Genomic DNA, 15,647 nt, shown 5'->3' with positions numbered 1-15,647 from the left:
GGAGGCCGAGGCGGGTGGATCACGAGGTCAGGATCGAGACCATCCTGGCTAACACAGTGAAACCCCGTCTCTACTAAAAATACAAAAAATTAGCTGACCGTGGTGGCGGGTGTCTGTAGTCCCAGCTACTCGGGAGGCTGAGGCAGGAGAATGGCATGAACCTGGGAGGCGGAGCTTGCAGTGAGCCCAGATGGTGCCACTGCACTCCAGCCTGGGCGAGAGAGCGAGACTCTGTCTCAAAAAAAAAAAAAAAAAAAAGAAAGAAAAAGAAAAAAAGAAAGAAAGAAACCCTGTCTGTACTAAAAATACAAAAATTAGCCAGGCGTGTTTGCGGGCACCTATAATACCAACTACTCAGGAAGCTGAGGCAGAAGAATCGCTTGAACCCAGGTGGCCTGGTCCTGTAGTCTTAGCTACTTGGGAGGATCGCTCAATGCTCAGGAATTTGAGGTTAGAGTGAGCTAAGATACCATTGCACTCCAGCCTGGGCAACAGAGCAAGCCTGTCTCAAAAACAAACAAACAAACAAACAAACAAACAAAAAAAACAGACCGGGCGCAGTGGCTCACGCCTGTAATCCTAGCACTTTGGGAGACCGAGGTGGGCGGATTACCTGAGGTCAGGAGTTCGAGACCAGCCTGGCCAATAGGGTGAAACCCTGTCTCTACTAAAAATACAAAAATTAGCTGGGCGTGGTGGCACATGCTTGTAATCCCAGCTACTCAGGAGGCTCAGGCAGGAGAATGGCTTGAGCCCAGGAGGCAGAGGTTGCAGTGAGCCGAGATCCTGCCACTGCACTTCAGCCTGGCCGACAGAGCAAGACTCTGTCTCAAAAACAAACAAACAAACAAATAAACACCATCGACCAGGCACAGTGGCTCATGCCTGTAATTCCAGGATATTGGAAGACCAAGGCAGGTGGATCCCTTGAGCTCAGGATTTCGAGGCCAGCCTGGCCAATATGGTGAAACTCTTGTCTCTACAAAAAATAGAAAAATTAACCGGGTTGGCTGGGTGCAGTTGTTCATGCCTGTAATCCCAGCACTTTGGGAGGCCAAGGGGGGCAGATCACCTGAAGTCAGGAGTTTGAGACCAGCCTGACCAACATGGAGAAACCCTACCCCTACTAAAATTACAAAATTAGCTGGGCATGGTGGGGCATGCCTGTAATCCCAGCTACTCGGGAGGCTGAGGCAGGAGAATCGCTTGAACCCCAGAGAAGGAGGTTGCAGTGAGCTGAGATCACTCCACTTCCAAAACAAAACGATAGGGCTGTTAATTTAGGTGGTGGTTACACGGGTATTAACATGTGTAAAAAATCACTGAGTTGTACATGTAAGATTCCTGCACTTTTTGTATTTTATTATGTGTATGTTAAATCTTAAAAATAAAAGCGGAGAAAAACCTGATGGCTTCCTACTCCTCTATTAGGTAAAGTAAGAATCTGCTCTGGTTTGGTTTCGGAGGAACTGTTTCCTGGTCCTTGGATCTACCTGGCTGAAAGCACAGTGCCTGGTACAAACTAGGCTCCTCCCCGATTTTGAATTAACGAAGTTCAGTGACATCGTCATCCTATTTTTTTTTTTTTTTTTTTGAGACAGGCTCTCGCTCTGTCACCCAGGCTGGAGTGCAGTGGCACGATCTCGGCTCACTGCAACCTCTGCTTCCCAGGTCCAAGAAATTCTCCTGCCTCAGCCTCCCCAGTAACTGGGATTACAGGCGTGTGCCACCAAGCCTGGCTAATTTTGGTATTTTTAGTAGAGACAGGGTTTCACCATGTTGGCCAGGCTGGTCTCGAACTCCTGACTTCAAGTGATCTGCCCGCCTTGGCCTCCCAATGTGCTGGGATTACAAGCATGAGCCATCGCGTCCGGCCTGTCATCCTATTTTATCTCATCTCCTCCTCCTCCCTTCCCTGACCATCTTCTCTGGAGTAAAAGATCTTTGCTCTCAATTTTGGAACACTTACAATTCCTTCAGCCACTCTTGTTAGGAAGATATAAGGGAAGAGAGCGAGAGACAGGAGGCAACTCAACGGCCAAACAGGTTTATTCACAGGAATAAGCCTGCAAGGAGTTCCAGTCAGGAGTCTGGCTGAGACCCTGATCGCTTACAAGCTGAGGCTTTTATAATATCGTTTCTATTGGGGAGAGGTCGGGAAGTGCTGGCTGATTGGGACTGTTGGGGACTTTGTTAGGCTATGTTACCTTCTGTTGAAGCTATGGGCAGGGTTAACATTTGCTCTGTTTCTGAGAACACAGTCATCATTGTTGTAAAATAGCATCACTACTGTTACTCCTCACAACTCTTAACTGGGATCAGTGAAAACCATTGTTGTTGAGAACTCTTATAGAATTTCTGAGCTCTTATCTAAATCATCTGTTGAGTCTTCACAATGATCTACCAGGCTGGTAGGAAACGGGAGCTCATAGAGATTAACCAAGGTCATACAGTTAGAATGCTGTGGGTCTAGGACTAGAATTTGATATTTACTCCAGGCCCCGTCTCTGTCCCCAACAATCTAACCACAAGTTAAAATTCCAAATTGTGGGCTGGGCGCGGTGGCTCACGCCTGTAATCCCAGCACTTTGGGAGGCCGAGGTGAGCGGATCACGAGGTCAGGAGATCGAGACCATCCTGGCAAACACGGTGAAACCCCGTCTCTACTAAAAATACAAAAAATTACCCGGGCGTGGTGGTGGGCGCCCGTAGTCCCAGCTACTCGGGAGGCTGAGGCAGGAGAATGGTGTGAACCCGGGAGGAGGAGCTTGCAGTGAGCCGAAATCGCGCCACTGCACTCCAGCCTGGGCGACTGAGCGAGACTGTTTCAAAAAAAAAAAAAAAGAAAAAAAGAAAATACTGTGTGTTCCTACAACACCTTTCCCAGACTGTGAGCAACTTGGGAACAATGATTATCACCTTAGTGTTCGGTGTGTTTTGTAGAGGAGGGCACTCACTAAAAACTGGTTTGTTGAATGCAACCACTTAAGAATTGGACATGCCGTGCCCAGCCCCTAAGGGGCGCTATGCTCGTTCGTCCAAGGAGCAGCGTGACCAGCGGGAGGGAGTAAGTCGACGTCCCCGGCATGTGGGGCGGGGAACTCCACTGGCCGGCAAGCGAAGCAGCAGGCGAAGACCACGCCCCCGCCGGCCGCGCTTGCGCAGCCTTCGCTAGCCCCGCCCCGTCCTATTCGGGCTCCCGCCTCTGTTCAGGTAGGAGGCGGTATGCGGGGGAGGGGAGTCACCTGAGGGCGGGGATCTCAGGTCTTGGGGAGCCATTGTTGGCGAACCCCAACTTCCGATACGACCCGGAGCTGTTCCTGCAGTTCCAGAGACAATTCATGGGTCTTGGGGCCACCGAGGCGCTGTCCCTGACCACCAGCACGAGACCCCTTTCTATCGCGCCAGTCCTGTGGTCTCCGCACCTCTCCAGCTCCTGCACCCCCGGCCCCCGTGGTTCCCAGCCGCACAGTAGCGTGTCCTGGGTAGCGTGAGGACCCACGGGGCTGGGCAGGTGCCACGAGCCCGCCGCCTCTTCGCCGCCCGCCGCCTCTCCTCCTCTCCCGCCCGCCGCCTGGCCCTCCCCTACCAGGCTGAGCCTCTGGGTGCCAGAAGCGCGGGGCCTCCGGGAGAATACGTGCGGTCGCCCGCTCCGCGTGCGCCTACGCCTTCTGCTCCAGTTGCTTTCCCAATTGAGCGGAAAAGCCGGGGCATGTTGCCGGGGCCCTGGGCGGGACGGTTGTGCCCTGCAGCCCGAAGCCCGCCGGGGCACCTTCCCGCCCACGAGCTGCCCAGTCCCTCTGCTTGCGGCCCCTGCCAACGTCCCACAGGTTGGAAACCAGACCCTGCAGCCCCCAGCTAGCCCGAAGGAAGCCCAGACTGACGTCGCAGGGTAATGGGGACCCAGAGGTAGCTCTGTGGGGCCCCATCAGGACCTCAGCCCTTAGCGGGGCTTTCTGTGTGACACCGTGGGACCTGAACTGGGGAGGTCCCCCTTGCACAGAATTACAAGGGGCAACTGTAGGAAACAATTAAATCTATTATGTGCTAAGTATTGAGAGTTCCACGGATTGAGGCCCTCTCTAGAAGGCTTAGAAGTGGGGTAGCCGGGGTATGTGTCTGACTTTGTGTTTTGGTGCGGTGGTGGTGAGTGGGTGTAGAAACTAATAGTGCCAAGTGCAGTGCCTGTCAACTAGTAAGTTAATAAACCTTCCGTGAATGAATGAGAAGGTTCTGTGACTGAGGGAGCAGGGCTAGAGAGGGCATCTCTGCTCATCCCACCCCTGCCTCCCCTGGGCTCAGGCAGACAAAAGTAATTAGGTTGAACCTTTAATCAAAGCTGGTTTCACAGGCAAGCAGACATGATAGAGGAGGTAAAGGCAGAAATCCTGGGGACACAGGGTGCTGGCCTGGCTCACAGGCATGCCTCCTTCCGGGACCTCCTCCACCCCCTACAGTTTGGCGCTCAGTAATCTCTTGTTTTCTTGTCTCCCTCAGGACACTGGGTCCCCTTGGAGCCTCCCCAGGCTTAATGATTGTCCAGAAGGCGGCTATAAAGGGAGCCTGGGAGGCTGGGTGGAGGAGGGAGCAGAAAAAACCCAACTCAGCAGATCTGGGAACTGTGAGAGCGGCAAGCAGGAACTGTGGTCAGAGGCTGTGCGTCTTGGCTGGTAGGGCCTGCTCTTTTCTACCATGGCAGCCCAGGGCTATGGCTATTATCGCACTGTGATCTTCTCAGCCATGTTTGGGGGCTACAGCCTGTATTACTTCAATCGCAAGACCTTCTCCTTTGTCATGCCATCATTGGTGGAAGAGATCCCTTTGGACAAGGATGATTTGGGTGAGCCCTGAAACAGCAGGGTGGTGGACCTGGGGACACAGAACCAGCCAGACACACTGGGTGTTTGTGTACAGGCATGTGGTGTGGGTGGATTGTCTGCACAGTAGAGGCCAGGGGCCAGTCTGCATATGCCAGATAAAGAAGCTCTGAGATCCATGGACATGGGTGCCTGCGGGGCTAAGGAGGGCTGCTTATTTGACGTGTGTGTGCATGCCCTGGAGGCACTGTTTATTCCGAGAGTGTTTGAGGGGCTTCTGAGCATGGTTTTCACACCTGTGTGGGTGCATGTGGAGGCTTCAGGGTGAGTGCTGGCTACTGACACTGTGAGCACTGGGAACTAAAAAGTTGGCACAACGACTTCATGTGGCCTGGCATGCTACCCTTCAGGAGGGACAAGGTCCCTGACTCCAATCCTGAGCCCTTTGCCCCATGTTGGGTGGTGGAGCAACAGAACTGCTAGAGGCCCGGGACTGGCATCCAGAGTGAGGTGGGAAATCCCATATGCAAATCCCAGGGAGGGGGAACTGCCACGTCCTGCTCCCTTTTTGTTCCCTGACAACTGTAGCTGAGAATCATGGGTCAGTCTGGGGCTAGTGCCGATGGTGAGGCAGGAGAAGTGGCCGAAGTAGTAGGGCCCCATGAGTGTCAGATTGCAGCACAGGCTCCTCCTGTTCCTCTGGGAAGTAACCTGTCTCACCCCACTGGGCACCCCTGCACACCTGACCCCATGCCTTCTTTCATTGCTCCTGTGTTTCTCCCCTGGTCCCTAACCCCTAAGTGTAATGTTCCCTGCAGGGTTCATCACCAGCAGCCAGTCGGCAGCTTATGCTATCAGCAAGTTTGTCAGTGGGGTGCTGTCTGACCAGATGAGTGCTCGCTGGCTCTTCTCTTCTGGGCTGCTCCTGGTTGGCCTGGTCAACATATTCTTTGCCTGGAGCTCCACAGTACCTGTCTTTGCTGCCCTCTGGTTCCTTAATGGCCTGGCCCAGGGGCTGGGCTGGCCCCCATGTGGGAAGGTCCTGCGGAAGGTGAGTGCTTCCAAAGAGCCTGTTTGGATTGTCATAGAGGATGCCTAAAGAGCATGTGGGAGCGCCCTTTCTTACCCACCACCTCCACACCCAACCCAGAGCAGGTTCCTGAGCAGTTCCTGGCCAGCTCCTATTGCTTGTCAAGATATTTTAGGAGGCTGAGAGTGGTGGGATCAGGTGGCAGAGGAGGAAACTGCCCTGCCAAACAGAAGCGCCCTCTCCCTCTTCCCTGTAATGTGAGCTTCTGGGGCTGCCCCATCTGACCCCACCCTCAACATGGGCAGTAGGCTGGACACCTACGTGTCGCCCTCTGCCCCACAGTGGTTTGAGCCATCTCAGTTTGGCACTTGGTGGGCCATCCTGTCAACCAGCATGAACCTGGCTGGAGGGCTGGGCCCTATCCTGGCAACCATCCTTGCCCAGAGCTACAGCTGGCGCAGCACGCTGGCCCTATCTGGGGCACTGTGGTGTGGTTGTCTCCTTCCTCTGTCTCCTGCTCATCCACAATGAACCTGCTGATGTTGGACTCCGCAACCTGGACCCCATGCCCTCTGAGGGCAAGAAGGGTGAGCCCCCACCCAGACCGACCACTGGGGCACTCATTTAGCAGGCAGATGTTTGTTGAAGACTAGGCGTTTGCCCGGTCCTGTGCTGGTCAGTGGATGTGGGGGAAGAGGTGGTGATGTAGGCTGCATGGGTAGCAAACACAAATCCATCCCAAGAGGCAGTCAAGTACTGGACAAGCGGCAGAGCCAGCAAGTGCTGTGACTCGTTATTTTCTGGCCCTTCCTCACAACAGCACAGACTTCCCTGTCCTGGATAGATAGAATCATGAGCTTTAGTGGCTTGGTCCTGTTTGTCTTTCATTCATTGAGCTTGGTCCTTAAGTGGCTTGGTCCTCCCTGGTCCTGTTTCTCATTCATTGACCTTGCAGCGGAGAGGGGGAGAGGAGAGCAGTGGGGTGAGGGAATACCCTTCATGCTGATCCTGGCTGTGCAGATGGACTCTGCCCCTGTGGCTGGTTAATGAATGTTGGGGGTTCAGGTTGGGGAGAGCAGTCAGGGCAGAGCCTGACGCCCAGCCTTTTCCCACCTCCAGGCTCCTTGAAGGAGGAGAGCACCCTGCAGGAGCTGCTGCTGTCCCCTTACCTGTGGGTGCTCTCCACTGGTTACCTTGTGGTGTTTGGAGTAAAGACCTGCTGTACTGACTGGGGCCAGTTCTTCCTTATCCAGGAGAAAGGACAGTCAGCCCTTGTAGGTAAGATGAGCATGGGGACAAGGGTGGGCATAAGGAGCAGGAACCAATGCAGGGGATGCAAATTCAGGCCTTGCTTCCATTTATCCTCTTTATTCGTTCCTTGAGGCCGGGCGCTACTCAGGCAGCTATGGCCAGTCACCTATGGGAACCCTGTACCTCTCCAGGTTTAAGCCATTGTGGGACAACCCCAATGTGTAACACCCTCCCACCCTTCCCTTCCCTCTTCCCACCACAACTCCCTACTGCAGGTAGCTCCTACATGAGTGCCCTGGAAGTTGGGGGCCTTGTAGGCAGCATCGCAGCTGGCTACCTGTCAGACCGGGCCATGGCAAAGGTGAGCGGGCAGAAGGGACAGGAAGGAGAAGGGTCCCTTTCAGTCTTCACGGCGTGGCTGGGACAGGCACTGGAGAGATGGGAGTCCCAGGGCACAGGCAGGTTGGCATCTGCTGGTTTAGACCGGGTGAAGAGGGAATGATTCCAGGCTGGTCTTAGCTTTCCTACGGTTGTGGAAGTAAGGCTCTTGGGTAGAGTTTTAACTGATGTGAAGGACAGCCAGAATATTTCTTAGCTTAGCTGTAGGTTGCTCCACAGCCCCAGGAAAATGGGCTGGGAACAGACTAGGTGCCCTCCCCAGCACGTGTCCTAGTCCTGCCTGACGGGGGAGGAGGGGATGTTGTAGAGTTTGGCCTCAGAATGTAATGAGCAGGTCCCAGGGCCTCCCAGAGCTGCCCAGGGCCAAGAACTGTGGTGGGATTGCCAAAGACCCGTCAGCAGAGGCCCTGCTGTGTCAGAGTCCAGGGGTGGGTGTTCTCTGCCCTGTTCTGAGGACGTGACATTGCCGGGACTGTATCCATAGGCGGGACTGTCCAACTACGGGAACCCTCGCCATGGCCTGTTGCTGTTCATGATGGCTGGCATGACAGTGTCCATGTACCTCTTCCGGGTAACAGTGACCAGTGACTCCCCCAAGGTAATTAAGAAAGGCCTGGCTCACGGCAGGGCACAAGGAGAGAACGCAAGGGCCACTGACTCTGTCTCCCTCTCCTGGCTTCAGCCTGGGCCAATCTTTTCTTCGCCTCTCAGATACCCTTTTCAGTTCTGATTGGACCGTTCCTCTGTGTCTGGGTTCTCCTCCTCCACTCTGGGCCTGGTTTTCTTTTCTTCCCTGTGCTCCTCTAGGATGTTGCTTTCTGGACTCTGGCTCTTCACCCTCTCGCGGAGCTCACAGGCTTTACAGAGCATGAGGTGCCTTAAAGATATCTCTGGTTTTTCTCCTGGTCTGTCTCACCTTTGTCCTACCCTTCTGCCTTACCCCTAGCCAATCCAGTTTGTGTAAATCCTGAGGACAGCCTCTAGCTCAGAGGGATGACTTCTGTACCTCCTTTCCTTGCCCACCTAGGTCCCTGGGTTTGCTCAATGTGGCATCTCCTACTCTAGCTCTGTATTGTCAGTTGTGTTGGGGAGTGGAAGGAAAAGAATCACTTACTTACTGTCCTTTTATGACTACTGTTTGTTTCTGGGGACCAAGCCTTCTTCTTGCTTTGGCAGGGGTGGGTAGGCAGGTCGGCTTTCCGACTCTGAATGCCACTCCACTCTGCCCTTGGCAGCTCTGGATCCTGGTATTGGGAGCTGTATTTGGTTTCTCCTCGTATGGCCCCATTGCCCTGTTTGGAGTCATAGCCAACGAGAGTGCCCCTCCCAACTTGTGTGGCACCTCCCACGCCATTGTGGGACTCATGGCCAATGGTAAGTGTTAACTTCTAGAGTCTCTCCCTCACCCCCACCTGTGCTTTGCATATAGACCAGTGAGAAGCTGGAGCTAGCACCACTGGCTTAGGTTCTTCCCTTTCCCCCTGACAGTGGGCGGCTTTCTGGCTGGGCTGCCCTTCAGCACCATTGCCAAGCACTACAGTTGGAGCACAGCCTTCTGGGTGGCTGAAGTGATTTGTGCGGCCAGCACGGCTGCCTTCTTCCTCCTACGAAACATCCGCACCAAGATGGGCCGAGTGTCCAAGAAGGCTGAGTGAAGAGAGTCCAGGTTCCGGAGCACCATCCCACGGTGGCCTTCCCCCTGCACGCTCTGCGGGGAGAAAAGGAGGGGCCTGCCTGGCTAGCCCTGAACCTTTCACTTTCCATTTCTGCGCCTTTTCTGTCACCCGGGTGGCGCTGGAAGTTATCAGTGGCTAGTGAGGTCCCAGCTCCCTGATCCTATGCTCTATTTAAAAGATAACCTTTGGCCTTAGACTCCGTTAGCTCCTATTTCCTGCCTTCAGACAAACAGGAAACTTCTGCAGTCAGGAAGGCTCCTGTACCCTTCTTCTTTTCCTAGGCCCTGTCCTGCCCGCATCCTACCCCATCCCCACCTGAAGTGAGGCTATCCCTGCAGCTGCAGGGCACTAATGACCCTTGACTTCTGCTGGGTCCTAAGTCCTCTCAGCAGTGGGTGACTGCTGTTGCCAATACCTCAGACTCCAGGGAAAGAGAGGAGGCCATCATTCTCACTGTACCACTAGGCGCAGTTGGATATAGGTGGGAAGAAAAGGTGACTTGTTATAGAAGATTAAAACTAGATTTGATACTGAACACTGTCAGTGATTCATTTTTTCAAAGTGAGACAGCTTCCTTGGGAAATATTGTCAATACCTGCTCTTTCCACCCCAAAATGGAAAGACTTCATTTCCCTGGAATGGGGAAGCTGAAGTGTAGATGGACTCCTTTAAAACTCATGCCTCCTCTGCCTTCACCTGAACATTGAATAGTTCAATGATTATTTTAGAGATAAAGCTATTGGGTTGTGGACAGATTAAATAACTTGATGGAGGGAAGAAGTGTAACAGTGGTTTACTGAGTGTGTAGCCAGAAAGCCTGGTTCAAACCCAGACTGTCAGTAACTAGCTTGGAAACTTTGAGGCAGAAAGTCTGCTAAATCTCTTATCTGTAACAGAATGTACCCCCTGGAGTTAGGGTGAAGATCAAGTGAGATAAAGCAGGAATGCCTGGCTGTAAGTGCTTGAAATATGTTCCATCATCATCATCATCATAACAGCCACCACCACTGCTGCCACCACCCCAGGACCCCAGGAAATCAGCAGCAATTCTGGGACTAGATCCAATGCTCATGCTTCAAAATCTTATGTTCATTTATTTAATGAACACATATTTGTTATGTTTTTTACTAGCACATAATCATCTTCCCAGAATTCCCTAACCATTTTTGACTCACTTCCTGTATCTTTCCCCCAAAACCATCGATTAAGACAGATTGCAAACACCAAGATCAAAGGAATATTTATTACAACATTTATGGACCTAGCTCCTCCATAAATAAATCTGTACAGAGTTGGAAAGTAAGACCATGGTATATACAGAAGGAAAGAGCACAGTGTTAAGGCTCAGGAATCAGTACAAGTCATCAGGGTCAGCATTCTCCCACTTTCAAGTGCACTAACAAGGCTGCTGGGATTTCCACTGGAGTGTCAACAGCAGTATTCTTGTTGCAGGAACTCTCAGAATTTGGGGGTCCATAACAGGTTCAGCCTATGACCCAGGTCCAAAAGTTCCAGCCTTCTCTGCCACCTCCAGAGCTAGCTTCAGGTTCTGGTCAAAGAGCTCACACCTAAGCCGGGCCCAGGGTGAGGAAAAAAAGTGTGAGGCCTGAGGCTTTCTCCCCACTTAAGCCAGGGGAAACTGCTTGAAGAACAACATATATCATGGAAGGCTGAGGTGGGCGGATCAGCTGAGGTCAGGACTTTGAGACTAGCCTGGCCAATATGGTGAAACCCTGTCTCTACTAAAAATACAAAAATTAGCCAGGCATGGTGGCAGGTGCCTGTAATCCCAGCTACTCCGGAGGCTGAGACAAAAGAATCGCCTGAACCCGGAAGGCAGAGGTTGTGGTGAGCCGTGATGGCACCATTGCATTCCAGCCTGGGTGGTTAAGAGTGAAGCTCAGTCTCAAAAAAAAAAAAAAAAAAAAAAACATCAACAAAAAAAACCCCACAAACAAACAAACAAAAATGACATAAACACCAAGGAAAGTCTGTTTTCTCTAAATAGTCACCCAGGCTGGAATCAGTGGCACGATCTCAGCTCACTGCAACCTTTTCCTCCCAGATTGAAGCGATTCTGCTTGCCTCAGCCTACTTGAGTAGCTGGGATTGCAGGTGCACACGACCACACCTGGCTAATTTTTGTATTTTCAGTATTTTTAGCAGAGATGGGGTTTCACCATGTTGACCAGGCTGGTCTTAAACTCCTGACCTCAAGTGATCCGCCCGCCTCAGCCTCCCAAAGTGCTGGGATTACAGGCGTGAGCCACTGCACCCAGCTACTGTTGTCTTATTTATTTAGAGACACGGTCTTGTTCTGTTGCCCAGGCTGGAATGCAGTGGCACGAGCATGGTTCACTGCTGCCTTGACCTTCCAGGTTTAAGCAATCCTCCCGCCTCAGCTTCCTTAATAGCTGGCACTACAGGTGTCCGCCACCACACCAGGCTAATTTTTTTTTTTTTTGTAAAGATGGGGTTCTATGTTGTCCAGGCTGATCTCAAACTCCTGGGCTGAAGTGATCCTACCCTCTCCGTCTTCCAAAGTGCTGAGATTACACACGTGAGCCACCGGCCTTTCCTTGTGTCTTACTTAAAAGTAATACTCGGCCGGGCGCAGTGGCTCACGCCTGTAATCCCAGCACTGTGGGAGGCCAAGGCAGGTGGATCACCTGAGGCCGGGAGTTTGAGACCAGCCTGACCAACATGGTGAAACCTTGTCTTTACTAGAAACATGAAATTAGCCAGGCGTGGTGGCACATGCATCCAATCCCAGCTACTCAGGAGGCTGAGCCAGGAGAATCGCTTGAACCCGGGAGGCAGAGGTTACAGCGAGCCAAGATCGCATCATTGCACTCCAGCCTGGGCAACAAGAGCGAAACTCCGTCTCAAAAACAAACAAACAAAAAAAGTAATACTCTACTATGCTTCAGCTAACTTTGGACAGAGCACACAGGGAGGGGCAAGGACGCTTTAAACAGTATCTGGGAAGTGGGGCCACTTACCTGATAGGCATTTCTAAGGAATAGAATGGATTCTTGAGGGCAAAGTCTGAGTAAATCTCATAAATCTTTCGGAGAAGAGAATCTATTCCAGCTTGCCTAGGATCTGCTAGAACCACAAACTTGATCCCTGGAGAGAGACCAAGAATGGTTACCAAAGCGTAGACACTGGAGCAAATAGTGTCATCCTGTATTTGTACAGCACTTTCAATTTTGCAAAACACTTTCATAAGCCTATTTTAATTTTATTCTTTTTACCACATAATGCAGGAAAGGCAAGACTTTGAATCTACCGATGAGACCAGAGAAGTGAAGTAACTTTGTTATGTCACCCACCTGATTAAGACCAGGCTTTGAGTTCTAGCTCTGCCACTTACTAACAGTTTTGGAGTCCCTCAGCAGAAACATTGCCAGGCAGGGGACAAAGTCAGGCAGTTTTCAATAAATGAAGAGGGTGAAGCAATGACACTGGCAATCCAAAGGTCATATCCATTTTGCTTTCAAATTTCATTTTGGAAAAACACTTAACACCTTCCAAAGTACACGCAACAGGAAATAGCATTAAGGTGAGTTTTATCTGAACACAAGATAACCTCTGCTGAACATGCTGGGTGGCATGGACAAAATCAGTTTCAGATTAAATATTGGTTTTGTATTCACAAAACAAACAAACAGATGTGTCTATAAAATTGTGCCAGGAAGGCCGGGCGCGGTGGCTCATGCCTGTAATCCCAGCACTGTGGGAGGCAGAGGCAGGTGGATCACCTGAGGTCAGGAGTTCGAGACCAGCCTGGCCAACATGGTGAAACCCCATCTCTCCTAAAAAATACAAAAATTAGCTGGGCGTGTGGCGGATGCCTGTAATCCCAGCTACTCAGGAGGCTGAGGCAGGAGAATTGCTTGAACCCGGGTAGTGGTGGCTGCAGTGAGCCAACATCGCGCCACTGCACTCTAGCCTGGGTGACAGAGCAAGACTCCATCTCAAAACAAGACAAAACAAAAAAACCCCACAAAAAATTAGCTGGGTGTGGTGGCGGGCATCTGTAGTCTCAGCTACTTGGGAGGCTGAGGCAGGAGAATTGCTTGAACCCAGGAGGTGGTGGCTGCAGTGAGCCAAGATCATGCCACTACACTCCAGCCTGAGTGGCAGAGTGAAACTGCATCTCAAAAAAAAAAAAAAAAAAAAGAACTGTGGGTCGGGTGTGGTGGCTCACGCCTGTAATCCCAACACTTTGGGAGGCGGGCAATCACCTGAGGTCGGGAGTTTGAGACCACCATGACCAATATGGAGAAACACCATCTCTAATAAAAACAGAAAAATTAGCCGGGTGTGGTGACACATGCCTGTAATCCCAGCTATTTGGGAGCCTGAGGCAGGAGAATCGCTTGAACCCAGGGGGCGGATCATGCCCCTGCATTCCAGCCTGGGCAACAAGAGTGAAACATTTCAAAAAAAAAAAGAATTGTGCCAGGAAAAGCACACCCCCTCTTCTTGCTTACCAAAGGTGTCTTTGGTCAACCCCCTCCTCCCACCTTCTCCACCACACTCCTCTGGCCCACCTGGAGATGCAAACTTATCAGTATCTCTTCCCCACCTTCTCCATCACACTCCTCTGGCCTCCGTGGAGATGCATACCTGTCAGTGTCTGGTAGCAGTGCAATTTGAATGTGTCTGTCTCCAGCATCTCAATGCCTGAGCTTCCCTGTTCAGGAGACAGCTGGGAGCCGATGGCAAAGAGCCTATATGCAAAGGAGGCAAAGTTGCTCTAAGGAAGGAGTGCTTCTCAAACTTCCACTGAAGTGTCCCTATTTGCTGAGGAGTTCACATTACAGCCTGGGACAGTCAGGAGAAGTAGTGTGAACTGACTGGCAGTAGTGTCAAAATTTCTAAGTTCATTTGAATTCTGTGAATATTTTACATTCATACTTTGTTACAAGACATTTTACATCTAAAACTTTGGGTAAAATGAATACTCTAGGAATATGTGCCACGCTTACTAAGCTTGTGTTTAAGCAAAGGCCGGCACATCTGATATCACAATTGAGAGCAGAAAAAGTTTAAAGGTCATTTAGTTAAACTGGCTTTCTTTAAATATGAAGAAACTAAGGCTCAGAGAAGAGAAGTTGACTTTAAGTAAGATGACACCTCGGCCGGGCGCGGTGGCTCACTCCTGTAATCCCAGCACTTTGGGAAGCCGAGGCAGGTGGATCACCTGAGGTCAGGAGTTTGAGACCAGCCTGGCCAACATGGCAAAACCCCTCTCTACTAAAAATACAAAAATTAGCTGGTCGTGGTGGCACGCGCCTGTAATCCCAGCTACTCGGGAGGCTGAGGCAGGAGAATCGCTTGAACCTGGGAGGCAGAGGCTGCAGTGAGCCGAGATCCCGCCACTGCGCTCCAGCCTGGGTAACTCCGCGGCCCCTCCCCACCCAGCAAAAAAAGATGACACCACTGCCGTTATTACCTAAAATCTAGATCTGGATCGGTTGCGTTTTTCATAACACCAGAACGACGATTTAAGAAAAGGTAGACAAATTACAAGCGCTGCCGTTCAGGAGACGGGGGACTTACGAGTGGAACATGGAGGCCAGCATAAGCTTCTCATTAGAAGTGAGGCGGGGCCGGCCAAATCGAATGGACACCGGGTAATTAGCAGGGTTACCCAGATACTCCAGCACCTCTTTCCCGTCGGCCGTGTACCTGCCATTCACGTCCATGCCATTGATGGCCAGCACTGCATGACCCACTGCAGAGGTGAAGCTAACGGTCAGCGAAGGTGCAGCCCGGGGATTCCGCCGAGGGGACAAGGGACCCGACACAACCCCTTTTCCCCCAACCCCGCACCTACAACCAGCCCACTTCTACAGCACTGGGGCCCTCCCACCCCCGCACCCGCCACGGGCCCGAGCCTAGCCCACCTCGGATGCCGTCCCGCTGGCCGAAAGCAACCAACACACGCTCATCGTGTAGCTTGAGCAGCAGATCCAGCGGATAACTGAAAGTTTTCTCAGCCTCAGCCCGTGGCGCGTAGCTGTCCAACTGGTAAATCAAGCCGCCAGCTTTGTTCACCACATACACACTAAAAATCGCCATCGCTGCCTTGCCGCTCGGAAACTGGTATTCAGCCTCTACCCGACGGCCCCTCCCCGGAACCGCATCACAGCACTTGCCGCCGGCCCCACCCCAGCCTCCTCCTCCTCCTCCTCCTCCTCCCGCGCCCCCCGTGCAGCCACCTGCTGCACTTGCGCACTGGGAGCGACACGCTCGGGCATAAGTAGTGCCGGAAAGTTAGCTGCCGAGACCTGGTGGATTGCTTTTCGTTTATCAGTGCAGGAAAACAGCGCTATAGTATGCGTCACAACTAGCGCAGACTCCGGCAGTATTTAGGCGGTGCGGCTTGGGAACTAGAATCCACTTCCTGTCTTCCGCCTCAGGCTAGAGGGCGAGCGCTTCGCCGTGGGACTTCTTCTGCCT

The 15,647-nt window shown here is 52.1% G+C and overlaps 2 protein-coding genes across 13 annotated transcripts, besides 4 other annotated features; one reads left to right on the top strand and one right to left on the bottom strand.

Moving 5' to 3' along the window:
- Positions 3,185 to 9,950, top strand: SLC37A4 (solute carrier family 37 member 4). Of its 5 annotated transcripts, NM_001164278.2 has the most exon segments (12): positions 3,185 to 3,213; positions 3,327 to 3,514; positions 4,498 to 4,840; positions 5,636 to 5,868; positions 6,190 to 6,335; positions 6,337 to 6,434; positions 6,967 to 7,125; positions 7,374 to 7,459; positions 7,982 to 8,095; positions 8,305 to 8,370; positions 8,733 to 8,871; positions 8,986 to 9,950. In NM_001164278.2, coding segments are annotated over 10 exon segments (1,356 nt in total). In that variant the 5' UTR covers positions 3,185 to 3,213; positions 3,327 to 3,514; positions 4,498 to 4,692; the 3' UTR covers positions 9,153 to 9,950.
- Positions 3,571 to 3,730: a silencer, noted in NCBI's record as "silent region_3962". NCBI's record gives its function as "represses an Ori minimal core promoter by ATAC-STARR-seq in GM12878 lymphoblastoid cells {active_cell/tissue: GM12878}" and the evidence as "EXISTENCE:reporter gene assay evidence [ECO:0000049][PMID:35858748]".
- Positions 9,928 to 15,296, bottom strand: TRAPPC4 (trafficking protein particle complex subunit 4). Of its 8 annotated transcripts, none has more exons than NM_001318492.2 (5): positions 15,092 to 15,296; positions 14,638 to 14,919; positions 13,809 to 13,912; positions 12,176 to 12,302; positions 9,928 to 10,741 (listed from the first exon to the last, which is right to left on the bottom strand). In NM_001318492.2, the coding sequence occupies exons 2-5, from the start codon at positions 14,670 to 14,672 to the stop codon at positions 10,663 to 10,665; spliced, it is 345 nt and encodes a 114-aa protein (NP_001305421.1). In that variant the 5' UTR covers positions 14,673 to 14,919; positions 15,092 to 15,296; the 3' UTR covers positions 9,928 to 10,662. The 8 variants fall into 8 exon arrangements, with proteins under 8 accessions (NP_001305421.1, NP_057230.1, NP_001305417.1 ...); NM_016146.6 differs by having other exon boundaries at positions 14,745 to 14,919; NM_001318488.2 differs by having other exon boundaries at positions 12,176 to 12,188; positions 14,745 to 14,919.
- Positions 14,725 to 15,423: an enhancer, noted in NCBI's record as "NANOG-H3K27ac-H3K4me1 hESC enhancer chr11:118889349-118890047 (GRCh37/hg19 assembly coordinates)". NCBI's record gives its function as "activates a minimal SCP1, AML or CMV promoter by ChIP-STARR-seq in naive H9 embryonic stem cells {active_cell/tissue: H9 hESC(naive)}" and the evidence as "EXISTENCE:reporter gene assay evidence [ECO:0000049][PMID:30033119]".
- Positions 14,725 to 15,437: a biological region, named in NCBI's record as "NANOG-H3K27ac-H3K4me1 hESC enhancer GRCh37_chr11:118889349-118890047".
- Positions 15,318 to 15,437: a silencer, noted in NCBI's record as "silent region_3961". NCBI's record gives its function as "represses an Ori minimal core promoter by ATAC-STARR-seq in GM12878 lymphoblastoid cells {active_cell/tissue: GM12878}" and the evidence as "EXISTENCE:reporter gene assay evidence [ECO:0000049][PMID:35858748]".

Source organism: Homo sapiens, chromosome 11 (assembly GCF_000001405.40).
Source record: "Homo sapiens chromosome 11, GRCh38.p14 Primary Assembly".
NCBI classification, from domain to species: domain Eukaryota; kingdom Metazoa; phylum Chordata; class Mammalia; order Primates; family Hominidae; genus Homo; species Homo sapiens.
The sequence above is the reverse complement of the archived record's forward strand: the minus strand, read 5'-3'. Positions and strand labels throughout refer to the sequence as shown.

Excerpts from the sequence above, each read along its gene's own strand:
- TRAPPC4 (NM_016146.6), bottom strand. The coding sequence starts at position 15,266 with ATGGCGATTTTTAGTGTGTATGTGGTGAACAAAGCTGGCGGCTTGATT. Across the intron at positions 14,920-15,091 it reads CCAGCGGGACGGCATCCGAG|TGGGTCATGCAGTGCTGGCC; the intron begins GTGGGCTAGGCT and ends TCACCTCTGCAG. Across the intron at positions 12,303-13,808 it reads CTGCTACCAGACACTGACAG|GGATCAAGTTTGTGGTTCTA; the intron begins GTATGCATCTCC and ends GTCTCTCTCCAG.